Genomic DNA, 21450 nt, shown 5'->3' on the forward strand with positions numbered 1-21450 from the left:
CTGCAAGCGGCGGCTGGAGCAGGGGCCTGTGGCCCGCGCCCCCGGCCCCGACCGGGGCCCGCGGCGGCTGCCCGGCTCACCCGAGACTCCGGTGGCGGCGGCGGCGGCTCAGGCGCGCCTCGCCCTCTCCTTCTGGGCGGCGGCGGCTGCAGCCGCTCTCGGGGCCGCGGCGGGCTCAGCGACTCGCCACCGCGTTCCGACTGTTCCTCTCTTCCCGGTTCCCGGCCGGCAGCCGCTTAAAAACCGACTCCGGGGTGATGTCACTATCGCCCCACCCCCACGGCTGGCCGGCCCCCCTCTCCCTCCCGCCCTGCTCGTCACAGTCCGCCCACCTTGTCCCTGCCCTCCTCCCGGGGAGGAGTCGCCGCTCCAGCGGGAGGCAGGATGGTTGCTACCTGGGGCGGCCGCCAGCTCCTCCCGCAGTGCTCCGGGCCGCCCCTCACCCCAGGGTCGCCCGCTCCTAGTGTGGCCCAGGCTTCCCGGCCTGCCCCTCCCAGCCCTAGGAAGACGTCCCCCGGGCCCCCTCAGCCCTCCGCCTCCCCTTCTCTCCCTTTCTCCCCGCTCCTGGCAGGCTGCAGCCGTCTCCTCCCGGTGCTCGCTCCTTCCTTGAGCTCTGTCCACCGCTGCCCACTGGGGGCTAGAGCTTCCCGGCTACCCTGGAAGCTGGAGGCTGGGACCAGCTCTTCAGGTGACAGGCCTCTGTGTCTCCACAGTGGCCAGAGGGGAGCCTGCCTGACTGATGAGCAAGGCTCCACTTTGTCACCAAGGCAGAGAAGGGGCCCGGGTAAATGACCCCGGTGGCCCCCACCCCTGCCTGGCATGAGAGTGGGTAGGGGCTTCGGACTTGAGGGGACTGGAGCGGGAATAAGGCAAGGCTGCCCCCTGGTGCCTGGCGGGTGCACAGACCCTTCCCCAAAGGCCTCAGGTCTGAGGTCCTGGCTGCCCGCCCCCCACCCACCCCGTGTTCCTCTCCCCAGGACCCCCAGGCCTACCCAGCAAGAGCCAGCTTGTTGGGCTGCCTCTCCGCCACCAGCTGAGCAGCTTGGTTAGAATTTTCTAGGGCAAGAGTAGCCTGGGGGTGGGGTGGGGAAGGAAGTGGTCATTCTCCTGGCCTGGGAGGTAAAGTGTGCCCCCCTCAACTTCAAGCTCCCTGATCTGATCGTGGACACTGCAGTCCCCAGATGGCTCATCCCGTTAAGCTAAGCCCTCGGCCATCCCTCCAGCTTTAGGAAGAAAAGCAGTTCTGGCCCAAGCCAGACTGAGCTTCCTGGGTGAGGGAGGGGCAGTGTCCCTACCCAGGCTTGGAGGAGGAGCCTCAAGGGGTGTGTGTGGTTGGGGGAGACAGGCGGTGTCACCTGTGCTTAGACCAGGGGCGGTGGGCGGGTACCCTTGAGGTGGCAAGGTCACACTGCTCATCAGAAGTTTCTCACTAGGGTCTTCTCTGGCCCAGCCTTTGACTGAAGCTGGTCTGGAGACAGGGGCGTTAGAGAAGTGACTCATAGATGGCCTAAATAAGCGGGGCCACTCAAGGACCCAGGACAGGGGGAAGAGGGCCAACCCATCTGGACCGCAGGCAAACCCCATGGCCTTTGAGAGAAGAGAGAAGAGGACCCGGTGAAGTAGGCTCCGAGGGCCTCAGCCCAGCAGGAGCGCAGGGTGGGCGCGTGATGTCATCGAAGGGAAGACAGTGACCTGGGGGAGGGCCGCTTTGAGGGAGAGTGCAGGCCACCGCCAGAGAGCTCTGGGAGCCGAGGGCAGGGAAGACTTTCAGATGTTGCTTGTCCAAGGGGTGGGGGTGGAAGGGAGAGAGAGCAGAGGCTCGAGAGGGATGTAGGAGAGCTGATGGCACTTTGGGGACAGCCTCAGGGCTGCAATTGAGGAGGGCTCCCTCCCTCATGCAGGCTTTTCCTCCAGGAGCTGCACCAGGAACTCACAGAGGATCAGGGAGAATTCTGAGAACATGCTACTGTGGTGCTGCCTAGAGAGGAAGGATAAATGATGACAAGTACATCTCTGAGTAACGTATGGCCACTTGTTCATGAAAACTGTTTTTCTGAAAGCTTGTGAAGGTCTTGAAATACTCGCTATCAGTTGAGGACAAACATTTACACCCTCCTTCCACAGGGAGTTCAAGCAGGCTGGATGGGTCCATCTATGGATGATCTTCCCCAGCCCCTTCCTCTTCCCAGCTCATTCCTGGCTCTCTGTGTGAACAGGTCTCATCAGTGGAATGTGGTTGATGAAGTGAGGTCTTCAATTTTCTCATCTACTGTGTGGTCATGTTATTTTCCTCATCTGAGGCTTAAAAACTCACCTGCATGCAGCACATGACAGCTTAAAATCTCTTGTGAACAAAACAGTAACAAAGACACCCACCAGCGTTGAGCATCCCGTGTTGATGACAGCGACCACCATGGGTCAACGTCCTCTTCACAATCCTGTGTCAGAGCATCACTTGACTGATTTCATTAGCAACTTCCCAGGAGAATCAGCTTACAAAATACTTGTCCCATTTTCCATGCAGATGTAACCCATCTATTTTACTGAAGAAATGGGAAGAGCTGAATGCTGAATACACTGAATGTCTGCAGGTTGTGCAAGTTTGTGACTTTATCACTTTCTAATTTCTGATCTGTGTGGACCACTCTACAGATTTTTCTCACTGGTGTGATCAGCCTTCTGGATGTCAAATATAATAGACTTTCAACAATATAAAAGTCAACACAAGCTCCTCATGGTTTCAGTGCTCAGTGATGACTCTAAACTTACACAATGTGTTTCTTTATTAGTTTTGTTTTCTGGTATCTCTACTCGGCATCTTCACCACACCCATTTTATGTTTCTTATACAGGTAATTGATAATTTTAAAATTTATTGGTGCTTACTTTAATTAAATAAGCAGACAGTATCTTAGAATTTAAAAAAAATGTGCAGTAAAAGGAAATGCAATAAATTTTAATGTAAGGAAACCAGCAGCTGAAAGCAAGGGAAATCTCTTCTGCTGCATAGGAGGGTATGGAGACCTCATAATACGATGATTTTCTGCAATTTAATCATTATTGCCACACAAGTGATAGCATCCTCTCTCTTTATATCAGCACATTCCCTAACGTACAATAAAGGCTGAGCACAGATACCGCCAACCAGACTGACCAGCACCTCTCACCGAGTGCCTGAGCTGATAGTGATAGATATCACATTTGTCTAACAAAATCATTACACCCTGTAAGGATACCCACCAGTCATAAGGAGACAATTTAAAAAATTTAGTCAAAGCCCAAACCTGATAGGTAGTCATTTATACTTAGAAGAATTAACTCTTATCTTCACATGTATTTTTCTTAATCATAGAGAAGCTACTAGAGTCACTGTCCAAGTTACTGAATATCTTATTCCTAGAATGAGACACTGCACAATGTGTTCTGACACGAGGGGATGTAGATATAGTTAAGGGACAGGAGATGTGATCACGGGAACAAGAGTCTGTGATCCAGCAGTTCTTTCTCTCTCACAGTTGACCAGAAACAAGGCCCCAGCAGAACAAAGGAAACATTGACTTAGGTCTCCACAGTCTGATGTGAGATAAACAGCAGGTAGTTTATGCTTCCGTTTTATAGTAGGAAATTTAATAAAGAAGGGCCATTTTGGGGATAATACTATTCTCTATGATGCTTAAATGCCCCCAAACAGAGAGCACTACAGTGTCCCATGGCCAGGAGCTACAATACCTGGGTCTAGAAAGCAGTGGACAGAAATATCGGTTTCTCTTGCCACATGTATGATGAAAATTTGAAGAATGTTTCTTTCCTTCTCCATAATCATAGGCTGCGATGGACTGGAGGTCCTGGTACATAAGAATAAATGTGTCTCCAGTAGGAACAGAATTAGTCCCATAAAATAATTGTGCTGCCGTGGTTCTCATACTGTTGGAACAGCTGACCAAGAAAGTGTTGTAACAGCTGCAGTGTTTATTGATTCCTATCATATTTGGGGCTACATTCGCAGCTACCAAGGGAAAGAGAGAGAAGTAATTCTGGCCTAGATAGAGTCTATAGATTTTTTTTTTCTTTCCTTCAAACTGAGGTTTAAAAAAATCACATCAACTAAAATGCAGATGATGATCAAATGATCAAGGACAATAGCCATTAAATGTTTCAGGTGTGTTTTAACCCAAAGTCACACAACATGTGAGAACATGAGCTCTGGAGTCGGGAGAATCTCTGAGGAGAATCTAGAAGGTGGGTGGGAGAAAACAGTGATTCACGTCTAAGGAAATTGCAGGGCTACCTCCTGTAGGGGAAAGGAAAGCCTGAGCCTCTCCTACAGTGTGCTGTCTAAAAATTTTTGGCTGACTTATTGTATTCTTCAACACCAATTTTTTTAGTTCTCTTTTAAATTTTTTTATCTCTTAAAATTCTCACAGTGTTCTTGCATGCTGCCACTAGCTTATTAAACAAGATTGTAATATTTAAATTTTCTGCCAAGAAATCCATATGCTTTTATATTCATTGATGCCAGTTTCTGGACCTTTATGTTGTCCCTCTGTTTGGACCATATTTCCCCATTTCTTCATTTTCCTTGATGGTCTTTGCTGCCATCTACTCATCAAAAAAAACAGCTCTTTGTTCATCATAACAAAGAGCCATACTCTTCCAAGCCTAGGCCCTTAGAAAAAACCCTCACCAATCACCCCATCAGTGATTGTGGATCTCTCAAAAACTTCATAATAACTTCATAATATTCAAACTTCTGTCTTTGTTCTTAGTGGCCCCCAGGTTTTAGAGCATGTTGGGTTGTGGCAGGACTCCTAAGTAGGGGAGGTAGAAACTATTTACTCAAGCAGCCTCTTGAACAGGTACACCATTCAATACAGTTTTATTATTGAGGTATGATTCATCAGAATAATGTCAGTTCAAGCGCCTCTCAACCAGTTGTCTAGCATTGAAATGTTATAATTTATTATTTGGATCTCTCTGTTGTTTATCTTTTGAATCTTAGGTAAAATTACAAACTGGTATAAAACGGCCTATTTGGCAAATGATCTGTTGCAGAATTTTCATCTTCTATGTATCTCTGTTTGCACTTAAATCCAAGTTTATATTAGGCATGTATCTAGAATGTAGAAATAAATCTTAAAATTCCTTCATTTTTAAAAAGATTATGGGGTTTCCAGAAGATGGGAGAACCTTCTTTATTTATAAAATACCTGATTCCACATTTTCCAATAGTTTCCTCTTTATCAATCTCCTCTTACATTATACTATATTAAGCAAGGAGAAATTAAAACACACCATCCACACTTTGCATAGAAATCTCCTCAATCCCCTCAGCTTTTTTTTTTTTTTTTGACAGAGTTTCACTGTTGTTACCCGGGCCTTGGCCTCCCAAATTGCTGGGATTACAGGCATGAGCCACTGCATTGGGAAGCTCGAACTGGGCAGAGCCCACCTCAGCTCAGCAAGGCCTACTCTCTCTACAGACTCCAGCTCTGTGGGCAGGTCATAGCTGAACAAAAGGCAGCAGAAACTTCTGCAGACTTAAACATCCCTGTCCAACAACTCTGAACAGAGCAGTGGTTCTGCCAGCATGGCATTTGAGCTCTGAAAATAGACAGACTGCCTCCTCAAGTGGGTCCCTGACCCCCGTGTAGCCTAACTGGGAAACACCTCCCAGTAGGGGCCAACAGACACCTCATACAGGCGGGTGCCCCTCTGGGACAAAGCTCCCAGAGGAAGGATCAGGCAACAATATTTGCTGTTCTGTAATATTTGCTGTTCTGCAGCCTCTGCTGGTGATACCCAGGCAAACAGGGTCTGGAGTGGACCTCCAGCAAACTCCAACAGACCTGCAGCTGAGGGATCTGACTGTTAGAAGGAAAATGAACAAATACAAAGGAATAGCATGGCCAGGCACAGTGGCTCATGCCTGTAATCCCAGCACTTTGGGAGGCCGAGGCAGGCGGATCACAAGGTCAGGAGATCGAGACCATCCTGGCTAACACAGTGAAACCCCATCTCTACTAAAAATACAAAAAACAATTAGCCAGGCGTGGTGGTGGGTGCCTGTAGTCCCAGCTACTCGGGAGGCTGAGGCAGGAGAATGGCATGAACCCAGGAAGCGGAGCTTGCAGTGAGCCGAGATCGCGCCACTGCACTCCAGCCTGGGCAAGAGCAAGACTCTGTCTCAAAAAAAAAAAAAAAAAAAAAAAAAAAGAAAGGAATAGCATCAACATCAACAAAAAGGACATCCATACCAAAACCCCACCTGTAGGTCACCATCATCAAAGACAAAGCTTAGATAAAACCACAAAGATGGGGAGAAACCAGAGCAGAAATGCTGAAAATTCTAAAAAACAGAGCATCTCTTCTCCTCCAAAGGATCACAGCTCCTCACCAGCAACAGAACAAAGCTGGATGGGAATGACTTTGACGAGTTGATAGAAGTAGGCTTCAGAAGGTCAGTAATAACAAATTTCTCCAAGCTAAAGGAGCATGTTCTAATCCATCAAGAGCAAGCTAAAACCTTGAAAAAAGGTTAGATGAATGGCTAACTATAATAAACAGTGTAGAGAAGACTTTAAATGACCTGAGGGAGCTGAAAACTATGGCACAATAATTTTGTGATGCATGCATGAGCTTCAACAGCTGATTTGATCAAGTGGAAGAAAGGATATCAGTGATTGAAGATCAAATTAATGAAATAAAAATAGAAGACAAGTTTAGACAAAAAAAGAGTAAGAAGAATGAACAAAGCCTCCAAGGAATATGGGACTATGTGAAAAGAAAAATCTAAGTTTGATTGGTATACCTGAAAGTGATAGGGAGAATGGAACCAAGTTGGAAAACACTCTTCATGATAGTATCCAGGAGAACCTCTGCAACCTAGCAAGGAAAGTAAACATTCAAATTCTGGAAATACAGAGAACACCACAAAGATACTCGCTGAGAAGAGCAACCCTAAGACACATAATTGTCAGATTCACCAAGGTTGAAATGAAGGAGAAAGTTTTAAGGGCAACCAGAGTTGTGCCATGGCACAGTGTTGTGCCATGTCCTTTCTCTGTTTTCTTGCCTGTTTATTTATGTCAGATGTGCCACCTATATGTAATAAGGTCAGAATTCTGCCTCCAGTAACACATCAAAGGTGACCTTTGATTGTACTTTTGGTTTATGCTCCAAAATATTGATTATAAATTTCATCACCGTCATATTTTATGTCAAAATAAATCTGCATAATCTGAATGTCAATACATTTTGGAATCTACTAAATAACTGAAATTGCAAGAAATATTACCCACTCCAAAAACTGGAGAGATGGGCATGTCCAGAATTGCAGTTAGCACTTGCTTAACTGATGCAGAAGCTGCAGAAGCTGCAGAAGCCACAAGCTGTTGAGGGCACTTACATGGTAACCACTATAGACGTCTGAAAGACAAATGTGGACTCGGTAAATGTGACCATTCCAGAGGGTCTTATACTTCTAAGGTTTCTGGACTTTCTCTCCAGAAACCTCCAGATTCTAAAATATACAATCCAAATAAATTTCCTGTGGGTCAGAATTGAAGATGAAATGAAGATGATTAATTACAGAAAACTATACCAGGAGCCTACTTCAAAAGCTTCTAAAGGGAATGACTTTTCCAGAACCTTATCCTATGTGAAGGAAGACAAATCTCCCATTCCAGATTCTCTCCCATTCTTCCATTATTATATGAATGAGTAAAGTTAGCCAAAAGGGGTAAGATGTATGTAAATAGTCCAGGGAGGCCAAAACCACAAAAGGGAGTAACAGCCAAAAATGAGCTTTTCCCCTGGAGATGCTTTTTCAAGGTCACAGCCCAGAAGAGGAAGCCTATCGAATCTCTAGGTTTCCATTGGAAGAACAGGCAGTGCTTACCTGCACTGCACAATCCATTCTAACTAGGATGATGACTATGGATTAAAGATGAAAGTGTGGCAATGCACAGACTCTATCTGAGGAGAATACAGAAACACTAAGACAATGACAGAGGGTGAGACAAAGGCAGTAGAGCAATGTGAAGCCTCTGACATCGTGATTTTTAAGACCAACATCTTGTAAATGCCATCATAGATCTCAGCTTCTTTTATTATGGGGACTTTGCTGGTTTCCCAGCTGAGAAAGTGAAAATAACAACCTGCATGCACTTCCCAAGTCTCCACCTGTATCCTGTTTGCTTTAAATCTCTAGGAGAAGAAAGTCAGATAACTGGGCCTAGTGTTAGCGTAGGAGGCACTTCCTAAAAGCTACATATTAGGAAGAAGGGAAAATATGTGTTATTGGAATAGTGGGTATGGAGTGGGCTTTCATCTGAATGTATCTGCACCTGCTGGTATTCTCAGATGCAACATTCAACTGCAAGAGCCCAGTGAAGAAACACGGCACTCCCAAATCTCCTGTAAGTTTTTGTCTTCATTTTGGTTCCACTAATGAAGTGAATCTGGAGCTTCAGAGAAGGGGCTCCCTTCTGTGTCATTGAATCCTTGCTCTGGGTCTCCTTGCAGAGTTCAATAGGTTTAGTAAGGCTAATCAGTTGTTTCAAGAGATGTGTATCCTTATGAGAGTTGTGTGTTTTAACCAATCTAGTAGGTGAGTAATGGGATCTAATTTTTATTTAAATGCACATGTCCCTCAAAGAGTTCATATTTAACAATTTTCCAATAACTTTTGTTGAGATGCCTCTCCTGATATTTGGTTCATTTTAACTGCATTGCTTTGTTTTGATTCATTGTAAGTTTACTTGCATATTGTTTATAAAAGTCATTTAACAAATTAAAAGAATTCATTTAACAAATATGTGACTTGGAAGTATTTTTTCCAAGTCTGTGGCTGTCTTTACTCCCTTATCCGTGTGTATTGCAGAAACATACGTGTGTGTGTGCATGTGCCTGTGTGTGTATGTGTGTGTTTGTACAAATTTAGATTCAAAAACATGTAAAATTGTATTCATTCATAGATGATGTTTTTGGCATTATATCTGAAGTCTCATTATAGAATACCAAATAGTGGTTATTTTTTCCATGTGTCTAAGCTCAGGCCACAATCAACTCATGAGTGTTTAAACTTCACCTACTTGATTGGAGGACTATTCACCTCAGATATTTGGAATACTTCTGTAAGGAGATGTGTTCGTCTTCCCAATATTTATTTTCATAATCATCTATTAATATGTGTATTGGTTTATGAATATATATTTCATACTCTGAAGAAGATCCATGCTATATTACTCATTTTATCGTTCAAATCACCACAGCTTTATTAGGTCCTGGGAGCTCATTTAGTTTGGATCCTGTATCCTTACAGTGCACCTCATCCTTTTGTTTTTGAACACTTCCCTGTTTCCTTGTATTACAACAAATTCTAAGTTCATTTTCTATATTACCTCTTTTGTACATAGAATTAGCCATTTTTCTAAAGCTTGCTTGTTTCTAACGTTAACGAATAGCAGTAAAATAAAAAAATTGTGATACCGTGTATAATTACTTCTAGGACCTCTCAACCTACTGGCCTAGCAGACGTGCATGTTTATATGAACCCATGTTTATGGACGCATCAAAACTACTTATGTACTTAATCTTCTGTAACTTTATTATATTAAAAATGAGAACACACTGGTCTCCTGACCCAACTATGCTACCACGTGGACCTTTCTAGCCTTCCTTCCTTGACTGTCCATAACCATCCACTTTAAAGTGAGGAATCCTATCCCACCAATTGCCTTATTATTACCTGGTTGCACAATTTTAGGACACATGCATAGCGGTATCAGAAATGTAAAGCTCATTGGAAATATGTTTATCTACTAGAATAGAGTGCTATGTGTAGTTTCTTTACATTTTAAACATACAGAATTTCCTCATTTTCAAAGTTAATTAGACTAGCAACTTCATTTTCTACTTTCTTCAGTGAAGTCATTTCAATTACACCATATAATATCATTTATTTGAAATTTGGTATAAACCAAAACTATAGTCAAGTAAACAGATAGAGGATATTCAAGGAATTTAGAGAATGAGTATTAAATAAGTAAAAATGGCACTGTTTAAGAATAATAAAATTATTTTTAGTGCTATAAAATGGTTGAGACACGATGCAGTTAATTTGTCTAAGCTCATAATTGTGTGATGGAAAATATAAACCTAAATATATACAATTTTTGTAAAAAGTATTTAGCAGTTCATTAAACCAAGGATTAAATGCAGACTGTATAAAGTTATCTAATAACTTATTTGGTGAGGGTGGGGATATCATGAGATGCATGCAAAAAAGAATGAAGTAACTTTCCTCATTTGCATATAAGATGTTACCATTCACTAAAGACCTTTAATTTAAAAAAATCAATTTTCATTGTGACCCAGGTTTTTTCTTCCTGACAAGCAAATAACCCAGATAATTCTTTTCTTTCCTTGGTTGATAAAGATTTTCCCCAAACTTCAGCTCAGTTCAGGCACACACTGTCCCTGAATGGGCATTTACCCACAGATGGGTACACACACCTGTCAACATGGGGACTCTTTCGTCAGACAAACACACCTTTACTCACGTGGATTCTTCCCTCAGACAAACACATATGTCCCCACATGGACTCTTTCCTCAGACCACCACGTATGTCCTTACATTTACTCTTTCCTCTGGTAATGACATTTCCTCATGTGGACTCTTGTCTCAGACAAACAAACATGTCTGCATGTGAACTCTTCACTCTGATAAGTACACATATTTCCACAGTGACTGTTTCCTGACACAAGCAGATATATCCAATGTTGAACTGTTTTATGGGAAAATGATCTCAAGATAATAATTATAAAATCCCTCCCTGACAAGGTGTAGATCTGCATTTTTTTATTGTACCTTAACTTTGCCTTATTGTCAAGAACAGTAGTTTGTAGCTCTAAATGCACCGATTAGAGATTGGTGTCCGTTTTCTCTGGAAATGTATTTTTAAGTTCTTACTGGATGTATTTTTTTGATAATGTTTGCTACTGTGAAGATACCTGAACAGGGTCCACACTAGAAAATAAAAAAGACTAATCAGCAGATTAACCCTGTGCATCCAGACCCACGAGTCCTTTGACCCTGCCCCCCTGAAATGGAGACACAGAGGACGGATGAGCAATGCCGAGCGGTGCACCCAAGACCACTAAAAGAAAGACAAGGAAATGTGTCCCCTCCCCTCCTCATGAAAGGCAGCTCATCCCCTGTTCCTTCAGGCCCTGGCGAGGAGCCAACCCATGTCTCTTCCCTTCCTCGGTGTCCACACCGTGGGATCTGCACTGATTTGGGCTTCCCCTCTCATCACCCTCAATATTAGTGTCCCTTGTGAATCAGGTCCAGGTGCGGCTGCTCCACATGGAGCTGTTCTTCCATTTCCTCAGTGTTTGCAGAAGTCCTGTGTGAAATTTATTGATGGAGTCAGAGGAGGAAAAATTGTACACCCAGTGGTTCACTGAGACTCTCATGCAAGGCCTCTGATTTCACCTTTACTGGCTACAGCAATGAGCTTGGTCCAGCCAGCTTCACGACAGGGATTTGTGTAGGTGGAAACAGTGAGTGATCAAGTGGGAGTTCTCAGAGTTACTCTCCATAAGTACAAATAAATTAACAGTCCCAAGCGACACCTTTTAATGTGCAGTCTACCTTAAAGGGACCAAACTGAAAGTCAAGGACAAGGCCTTGTAATACTGTGAGAGACACAGGAGAGGGAATATCTGTGTGAGCCCCAACAGAAAAATCTCTGCAGGAAGACAGGAGGGAGCTGCATGGTAGATGCTCCTCAGAACCACCAGGGCACCTTGAGGACAACCTGGGGGCACTCAGAACCACCAGGGTGTGCTTAGGACCATGGTGTGCTCAGGATATTAGGGGGTGCTCAGGATCATGAGGGGGTGCTCATGACACCAGGGGGCACTCAGAATCACAAGGGGACACTCAGGACACGAGGGTTTGCCCAGGACCACCAGCAGGCACTCAGGTCACCAGGGGGTGTTCAGGACCACCAGGGGGCGCTCAGGACACCAGGGGGCGCTCAGAACCACCAGGGGGTGCTCAGGACACGGGGGGGGGGCGCTCAAACCACCAGGGGGCGCTCAGAAGCATCAGGGGTGCTCAGGATATCACAGTGCCCTCAGTACCACGAGGGGGCGCTCATGACACCAGGGGCACTCAGAACCACCAGGGGGTGCTCAGTACACGGGGGTTCTCAGGAAGCAGCTCCAAATCAGGAGCCTGAGAAGCTGTGATTTTCTTTTAAACCTTGGTGATTCCCGACCTGGTCAAGCAAAAGTCTTCCCCAGGATCTCTCACCATTTCTTCCTTGTAAATCCATGATTACTTTTACCTACAAAACATTAACTTAGAACAGGAATTTAATTCAACTTTTAATGCTGCATATTTTCCAAGTAATACTAGCAATGATCTCTCAGGACAATTTTTAAAATAGGTTATTTATATATTCTCTTGATTAAAAATAATACTATTATTAAAATAGTAAAATTATAAAAATCACACCTGTAATCCCAGAACTTTGGGAGGCTAAGGCAGGCAGATCACTTGAGCTCAGGACTTTTAGAACAGCCTGGCAGCACAGTGAGGTCTTTTCTATACAAAAATAATAATAATAAATACCTGGGTATGGTTCCACCTGTGGTAGCAGCTACTTGAAAGGCTGAGGTGGGAGGATCCCTTAAGCCTGGGAGGTTAATGATGCAGTGAGCTGTGATTGTGCCACTGCACTCCAGTCTCGTTGACAGAGTGAGACCCTATTTAAAGAAAATGTATATCCTCAATATAAACTGTTTCAATGATTAGAGTTTTGTATTTTTGTGCTGTAATAGTCAAACAATTGTACATGTTTTTTAACATTAACTCAGCGTATACATGGCATTTTGTTTCTTTTTCTTTCATCTGCTGTTTTTGGAAATTAAACACGACTTTAAATGCTCTTGTTCTCCATTTTGGTTGGCTTCAGGTGTCCTGTTTTTCAGACTGTTTCTCCATCTTCCCTTTTTCTTTGAAAGTATTTTACCTTCCTCAGTCTCCATGAAGGAAAAAGAAAGTCACTTTACTTTCTGACCTCCAAGTCTGGTGAATCAGTTCCCTTGTCTTCATAATCACTGAAGCCAACCAAGTTTAGAGGATAATGGCTCTCCTTAGAATATGCTCATCTACCTGCAGACTCTGCCCTACTCACCCTTTTCCAGGGTCCTGCAGTCCATCCCCTCATTTCCCTAAGTACCACAGAGTGGGCTCTGCAGCTCCTGCTGCCCTCTGTGTGTTCAGCCCTGGGGCTCATTATGTTTTGATGATGAAGTCCAAATCCCCATGTGCTTGGACCCTCTGAGACCACCCTCTAGGAAGATGCCATTGTGAGTGAGCCCTGAAAATAATGGGCTGTGTTCAGTTTCATTATCCTGGATGTTCTCTATCATAAAGGAATATTGACAAATAAATACTAGAGTTTGTATTGAATATTCATGCCAAAAAAGTTTTTTTTTTAATTTTTCAAATGAAACAATTTTATCTTTCCTGGTTTGAAAACTACAATCTAAATTTAACAAATAATGTAATACAATGTTTGTCTTATTAGTTATTCAATTTATTAAAAGCAGACTGATATTTAAAGTTAATACCATTGCACGTTTGAGTGACATATTTGGCAAGAACAGCATTTACATTCAGCTTTAACAAAACATGTATTTAAATATATTTGTCTTTTTAGTATTGGAATAGGCAGACATACACGTAGAAGAGCATTATTTTCTACTACAACCTCAAACTGCAAACACAGTTTAAATTCAATTAAGTAATTAAAAAATATGAAACAAATAGGTGTGCTATTTTGGTGTTTAGATATACATTCACTTTTGCATGGGCATATGTATGTGTCTTTGCTGGGCTGTTGTGTATGTATGTGTGTTTGTAGAACCATGAAGTTTTCAAATACATCATTAAATGACATATTAATCTTGGCCAGGCATGGTGGCTCAGGCCTGTAATCCCAGCACTTTGGGAGTCATAGGCAGGCAGATCACTTGAGGTCAAGGGTTCAAGACCAGCCTGGCCAACATGGTAAAACCCCGTCTCTACTAAAAATACAAAAAATAGCCAGGTATTGTGGCAAATGCCTTTAGTCCCAGTGTGACAGGGAAATGTGGGGTCAGAAATCCCACACAGAGTTTCTACTGGTGTACCACCTAGTGGAGCTGTAAGAAGAAAGCCACTGCCCTCCAGAACCCAGAATGGTAGATCCACTGACAGCTTGCACCATATTTCTGGAAAAACCACATACACTCAATGCCAGCTCGTGAAAGCAGCCAGGAGGGAGACTGTGCCCTGCAAAAGTTTTTTAAAACTTTTCATGTGAAAAGTTTTAAAAATGTTCTGCCACAGGGGCAGAACTGCCCAAGACCATGGGAACCCACCTGTTACATCAGGTAACCTGGATTTGAGACATGGAGTCAAAGAAGATTATTTTGGAACATGAAGATTTGACTGCTTAGCTGGATTTCAGACTTGCATGGGGCCTGTAGTTTGGACCAATTTCTCCATTTGGAATGGCTGTATTTACACAATGCCTGAACTCCCATTCTTTCTAGGAAGTAACTGACTTCGTTTTTATTTTACAGGCTCATATGGAAAAGACTTGCCTCATCTCAAATGAGACCTTGGACTGTGGACTTTTGAGTTAAGGCTCAAATGAGTTAAGACTTTGGCAGACTCTTGAACAGGCATGATTGGTTTTGAAATGCGACAGCAGTCATGACTCTAGAGGACCACATGTGAAATGCAACAAGCAGGAGCAGAAGACAAGTAATTCATGATTTCACTGTAGTGCATTAAAATGGTAGACTCACAGAAGTAGAACAGAATGTTGGTTACCAGGGGCTGGAGGGGTGGACTGGAAAAGGAGAGATTTTGGTCAAAGTGTAAAATGTTCCAGTTAGACAGAAGGAGTAAGTTGCAGTGTTCTAATGCACAAGATGGAAAATATGGCTATGAATGCATTGTATATTTCAAAATGGCTAAAAATGTAAATGTTAAAATTTTTCCCACTAAGAAATTATACAGGTCGGGAGTGGGGGCTCACACCTCTAATCCCAGCACTTTTGGAGGCCGAGGTGGGTGGATCACAAGGTCAGGAGTTCAAGACCAGACTGGCCAAAATGGTGAAACCCTGTCTCCACTAAAAACACAAAAGTTAGCCAGGCGTGGTGTTGGGCGCCTGTAATCCCAGCTACTTGGGAGGCTGAGGCAGGAGAATTGTTTGAACCTGGGAAGCAAAGGCTGCAGTGACCAAGATCGCACCACTGCACTCCAGCCTGGGCGACAGAGTGAGACTCAGTCTCAAAAAAAAAAAAAAGAAATTACACATTTGTGAGGTGATGGATATGTTAAATAGCTTGATTAACAATTCCATGGCCGGGCGCGGTGGCTCACGCCTGTAATCCCAGCACTTTGGGAGGCCGAGGCGGGCGGATCACGAGGTCAGGAGATCGAGACCATCCTGGCTAACACGGTGAAACCCCGTCTCTACTAAAAATACAAAAAAAAAATTAGCTGGGTGTGGTGGCGGGCGCCTGTAGTCCCAGCTACTAGGGAGGCTGAGGCAGGAGAATGGCGTGAACCCGGGAGGCGGAGCTTGCAGTGAGCCGAGATCGCGCCACTGCACTCCAGCCTGGGCGACAGAGCGAGACTCCGTCTCAAAAAAAAAAAAAAAAAAAACAATTCCATGATGTATACATGTATCATAGCATGTGTGAAGCGACCTACCTGTATGAAGGTGAGGTGACCTGGTCACGTGACAGTGAGGTGACCTGGGGGATGTGTGAGGTGACCTGGGGGATGTGTAAGGTTACCTGGGGGTATGTGTGAGGTGAACTTGGGCTCATGTGAGGTGACCCAGGGTGCATGTGTGGTGGCCTGGGTGCGTGTGAGGTTACCTGGACATGCATGAGGTGACACGGGGATCTCATGAGGTGACTTGGGCATGTATGATGTGACCTAAGGCATGTGTGAGGTGACCTGTGGGACGTGTGAGGTGACCTGTGGGACGTGTGAGGTGACCTGGGGGATGTGTGAGGTGACCTGGGGGATGTGTGAGGTGACCTGTGGGAATGTGTGAGGTGACCTGTGGGACGTGTGAGGTGACCTGTGGGACGTGTAAGGTGACGTGGGGGATGTGTGAGGTGACCTGGGGGACGTGTGAGGTGACCTGTGGGACGTGTGAGGTGACGTGGCGGATGTGTGAGGTGACGTGGGGAATGTGTGAGGTGACCTGGGGGACGTGTGACGTGACGTGGGGAATGTGTGAGGTGACCTGGGGAATGTGTGAGGTGACCTGGGGGATGTGTGAGGTGACCTGTGGGACATGTGAGGTGACCTGGGGAATGTGTGAGGTGATGTGGGTGCGTTTGAGGTGACGTGGGGGATGTGTGAGCTTAGCAGGAGTGTGTGTGAGGTGACATGGGGAATATGTGAGGTGACCTGCCTGATGTGTGAGGTGACCTGAGCACATGTAAGGTCACCTAAGGCGCATCTGAGGTGACATGGGGGACGTGTGAGGTGACCTGGGGAACGTGTGAGGTGACCTGTGGGACATGTGAAGTGACCTGGGGAATGTGTGAGGTGACCTGTGGGACATGTGAGGTGACCTGGGGAATGTGTGAGGTGATGTGGGTGCGTTTGAGGTGACGTGGGGGATGTGTGAGCTTAGCAGGAGTGTGTGTGAGGTAACATGGGGAATATGTGAGGTGACCTGCCTGATGTGTGAGGTGACCTGAGCACATGTGAGGTCACCTAAGGCGCATCTGAGGTGACATGGAGGATGTGTGAGGTAACCTTGGGTGAGTGTGAGGTTACCTGTGGGATGTGTGAGGTGAATTGGAACTTGTGTGAGGTTACCTGGGAAATGTTTGAGGTGACCTGCGGGATGTGTTAGGTGACATTGGGGATGTGTAAGGTGACTCAGGGCACATGTGAGGTGACCTTGGGGATGTGCAAGGTCACACTGTGTGAGTGTGAGGTCATGTGGGATATTTCAAACTTTGTAAGGAAAGCCTGCAACAATATATGGCTCTAGAAGCTTCACACTCCAACACTGTTAATGCGCACATCCTCAAGGAACTCTAAATGTTTCCAGGTTAGCTTAAATGCCATGGAGTGACACCTGCCCCAGGTACACTCATATATGCATCCTGGGTCTCCCTATCAACCCCTATCCTCAAATTTTCAGTTCATGTTTGCTCCATGATATCAACTCTGATATGCTGAGGTTTTTTTTTTTTTTTTTTTTTTTTATCTGTAGTTGTTCAGGTTTGCTGTTTCACTCTCATTACTCTGGGCTCAGTCCTCTCCTCAGGTGTCCCACTTCAGAGCTTGCTATGTAATAGGAGACATGCAAATAGGACCCTCCCTTTTCTGATGAAAAGCAGCCCAGCCCTGACCCTGCAGCCGTGGGAGAGAAGCCCCAGCCCTGGGATTCTCAGGTGTTTCTATTGGGTCAACAGCAATAAACAAATTACCATGGAATTTGGGCTGAGCTGGGTTTTTCTTGCTGCTATTTTAAAAGGTAATTCATGGAGAACTAAGGATATTGAGTGTGAGGGGACATGAGTGACAGAACAGTGGCTATGTGTGGCAGTTTCTGACCAGGATGTCTCTGTGTTTGCAGGTGTGCAGTGTGAAGTGCAGCTGGTGGAGTCTGGGGGAGGCTTGGTCCAGCCTGGGGGGTCCCTGAGACTCTCCTGTGCAGCCTCTGTATTCACCTTCAGTAACAGTGACATAAACTGGGTCCTCTAGGCTCCAGGAAAGGGGCTGGAGTGGGTCTCGGGTATTAGTTGGAATGGCGGTAAGACGCACTATGTGGACTCCGTGAAGGGCCAATTTTCCATCTCCAGAGACAATTCCAGCAAGTCCCTGTATCTGCAAAAGAACAGACAGAGAGCCAAGGACATGGCCGTGTATTACTGTGTGAGAAATCCTGTGAGGGGACACAAGTGTGAGCCCAGACACAAACCTCCTGCAGGAACGTTGGGGGAAATCACTGCAGGGGGCGCTCAGGACCCATTCATCAGAGTCAACCCCAGAGCAGGTTCACATGGAGGCTGGGGTTTGTTTCCTGTCAGGATTTGGGACTTCCTCTGCTTCTGACAGTTTCTGTAGGGAAACTCTTTAATTTTAGATTTCTGTGCCCACCAATGTCATCTCTACATATTTTTTTTAATCATTGTCATATGAGGACTCATTCTCACATGCACAGTATGTACGTTGCCACCTACAGGAATGAGAACTCCTCAACCATGCGCACCAGCATCAGAGTCATGAGGAAGCTCAGGGGTGCCCGGTGAGTCTTCTCCAGTCAGACTCAGGATAGGAACTTCAATGGGATTCCCTGACTAGAATGGCTTTTAGGGATTTTGATTACAGCCAAGAGAGAGGCTGGACCAGGTTCAGTGTCATGTAGGACCTCACAGGTTTTATGTATGACATTTCTCCTGAAAATATTCAAATGAGTATCAGCACTGATCTGGTGCTTTCTGACTTTCATTTTTAGTGGTTCTCGCTTTTCCATTTGCTTTTCCTGCTTTCTGGAAAAAAGGATGTTGTCCCTGTGGTCTAAATCCTGGGGCTCAAGCCCTTTCCCTGGAGCTTAGGTGGGGCTCAGGCTGTGACTCCTGCAGCCATTGGGAGAGGCTGCTGAGACTTTCTTCTCTCTCATTATTAAGCACACTCCACTCTGTTTTCTGGAGACGCATCTGGGAATGCATGTGGCCATTAGGAATGAGGGCATAAGCTTCTTTGGTCAAAGTGGGGTGAGGATGTGGAATTGATCCTGTGCTGTGTAAACTGTCACAGAGTCACCTTCTTCACCGGTAGTGTTAGAAGAGCCTGTAAAAGTTGTTGGAATCCAACTGGAGTCCCTTGTGTTCAAACCCTGACAAATGGAGCTGAGGAAGGCCATTTATGGAAGCTTCTCATGCACATACCCCTGAGAACAAGACCTAGCTTTATAACACTCCAAAAAACCACAAATTGAACAAAGGCAACCACAACAATAAAAGAATTACTTATATCCCTAAGAACAACAGCTAGCTTTATAACACTCAGAATAGCCACAACTGTGCACAAAGGCAACCACAACAACAAAATAATTACTTATATCCCTAACAACAAGAGCTAGTTTTATAACACTCAGAAAAGCCACAACCTTGCACAAAGGCAACCACAACAATAAAAGAATTACTTCTGTGAAAATATCTGCACAGCAACTGCCTGTCCAACCTTACACTGATGTCAACCTTGTTATTGATGCTTCTAGCCTGGGATCGTTCTCATCAAAATGTCATTCAGATGCTGCGTATGACAAAAATTGTGTTTTTCAGTGCAGTCATGTTCTAGTAAAGCCCTCAGAGACCCTCTCCTTCACCTGTGCTGCCTCTGGATTTCTGATCATAACCAGTACTTCCTCCTGGAGCTGGATCTGCCAGCCCCTAGGGAAGGAGCTGAAGTGGGTCAGGTGTGTAGGTCATGAGGAAGCACACAGTACCACCCGCTTCTCAAGAGTCCAGTCACCACCTCCAGATACACATTCAGAAAGCAGTTTTTCCTACAGCTGGGCTACATGTGCAATGAGTACACCACCATGGATTTTTATACAAAAGACACAGAGGGGGAAGTCATTGTGAGGCCAGACACAAACCTCCCTGCAGGGAAGCTCAGGACACCAGGGGGTGCTCAGGTCACCAAGGGGCGCTCAGGACACATTAAGGCAGGTGCAAGAGGGGAAAAAAGGTGCTGGAGATGGGGTTTTTCATCACTGACATATTTTACTCTCCACCATATGTATTCTAATGTATATTATTGTATTATTAGACAATGATATTTATATAAATATATAGCCACACGTAGGTGCACCAAGTTGTCCTCTCCATCTAATGTGGACCTTGTCCTTCAGGACTAAGTCCTTGTATATATTTGAGCACCTCATAAATTATGGTCAATTATGTAGGATCTCTCACTTGTTCTGTGTCCCTTCCTCCCTCCTCTCTCACACACAAACTGACACACACAAAGAGTTCTACAACTTTAATTACCTGATGTGTTGAAGAAAATGTATTGAAGTGCAGCTTTTTCAGTTTAACTGCTGTTCACGTTGATGTAGGAATAAGAACATTGTCTTTCTCAACTGTGTAGTTCTCTAAGCTGAGTAGCACCTTTCTTTATAATACCCAGATACTGAAAGCAATCCAAATATTGATCAGCAGGTTAAGCAGTAAACACTTTGTTCTAAATTCATTCACTTGAATAATACCCACTGTTCAAACAAGTACTGCTGGAAATGAGCAACAAGGGTAAATTCACAAGTACTTATGACGAGTAACATAAACCAAAGAAATACAAGTACATACATACAGTTCCACTTTTATAAATTCTATAAAATGAAAACTAATCTAAAGTTACATAATGAAAACCAGTAGTTGGCCGTGGTCATGGTATGAGAAGGGAAGGTGTAGGAAGCGGAAATTACAGGACAACAAGAGGAAATTTTGAGGATTATTTTTTCTGTATTGAGAAAAGTTACGGTTATGTCATTATTTGTTAAATTGTACACATTAAGGGAAGATTGTTACTTTCTAATTTCAACTTATTAAAATACTAAAAATTTAAACATATATAATTTGGTAGAAAAGAATTTAGAGATGGATAAAATATATGAGAAATAAAAAAGAAAATCTCAGAACGATGGCATAAGGACTTCAATCATCAAACTAAAGAAATTTTAAATTTCTCAACACAGAATTAAAGATTCATAAAACAAGCTCCTGGATCGTTGATTTTTTGAAGTTGATTTTCATGTCTTTATCTCCTTCAGTTCTGCTCTGATCTTAGTTATTTCTTCTCTTCTGCTAGCTTTTGAATTTGCTCTTGCTTCTCTAGTTCTTTTAATTTTGATGTTAGGGTGTCAGTTTTAGATCTTTCCTGCTTTCTCTTGTAGGCATCTAGTGCTATAAATTTCCCTCTACACACTGCTTTAAATGTGTCCCGGAGATTCTCATATGTTGTGTCTTTGTTCTCTTTGGTTTCAAAGATCATCTTTATTTCTGCCTTCATTTCTTTATTTACCCAGTAGACACTCAGGAACAGGTTTTTCAGTTTCCATGTAGTTGTGCAGTTTTGAGTGAATTTCTTCATCCTGAGTTCTAATTTGATTATTGCACTGTGGTCTGAGAGACTGTTTGTTATGATTTCTGTTCTTTTGCATTTGGCGAGGAGTGTATTACTTCCAATTATATGGTCAGTTTTAGAATATGTGCGATGAGGTGCTGAGAAGAATGTATATTCTGTTGACTTGGGGTGGAGAGTTCTGTAGATATCTATTAGGTCTGCTTGGTCCAGAGCTGACTTCAAGTCCTAAATATCCTTGTTAATTTTCTG

General features: G+C 44.2%; 1 pseudogene; it reads left to right on the forward strand.

Moving 5' to 3' along the window:
* On the forward strand, window positions 17701-17991 carry IGHV3OR16-15 (immunoglobulin heavy variable 3/OR16-15 (pseudogene); annotated as a pseudogene).

Source organism: Homo sapiens, chromosome 16 (assembly GCF_000001405.40).
Source record: "Homo sapiens chromosome 16, GRCh38.p14 Primary Assembly".
Classification (NCBI taxonomy): Eukaryota; Metazoa; Chordata; class Mammalia; order Primates; family Hominidae; genus Homo; species Homo sapiens.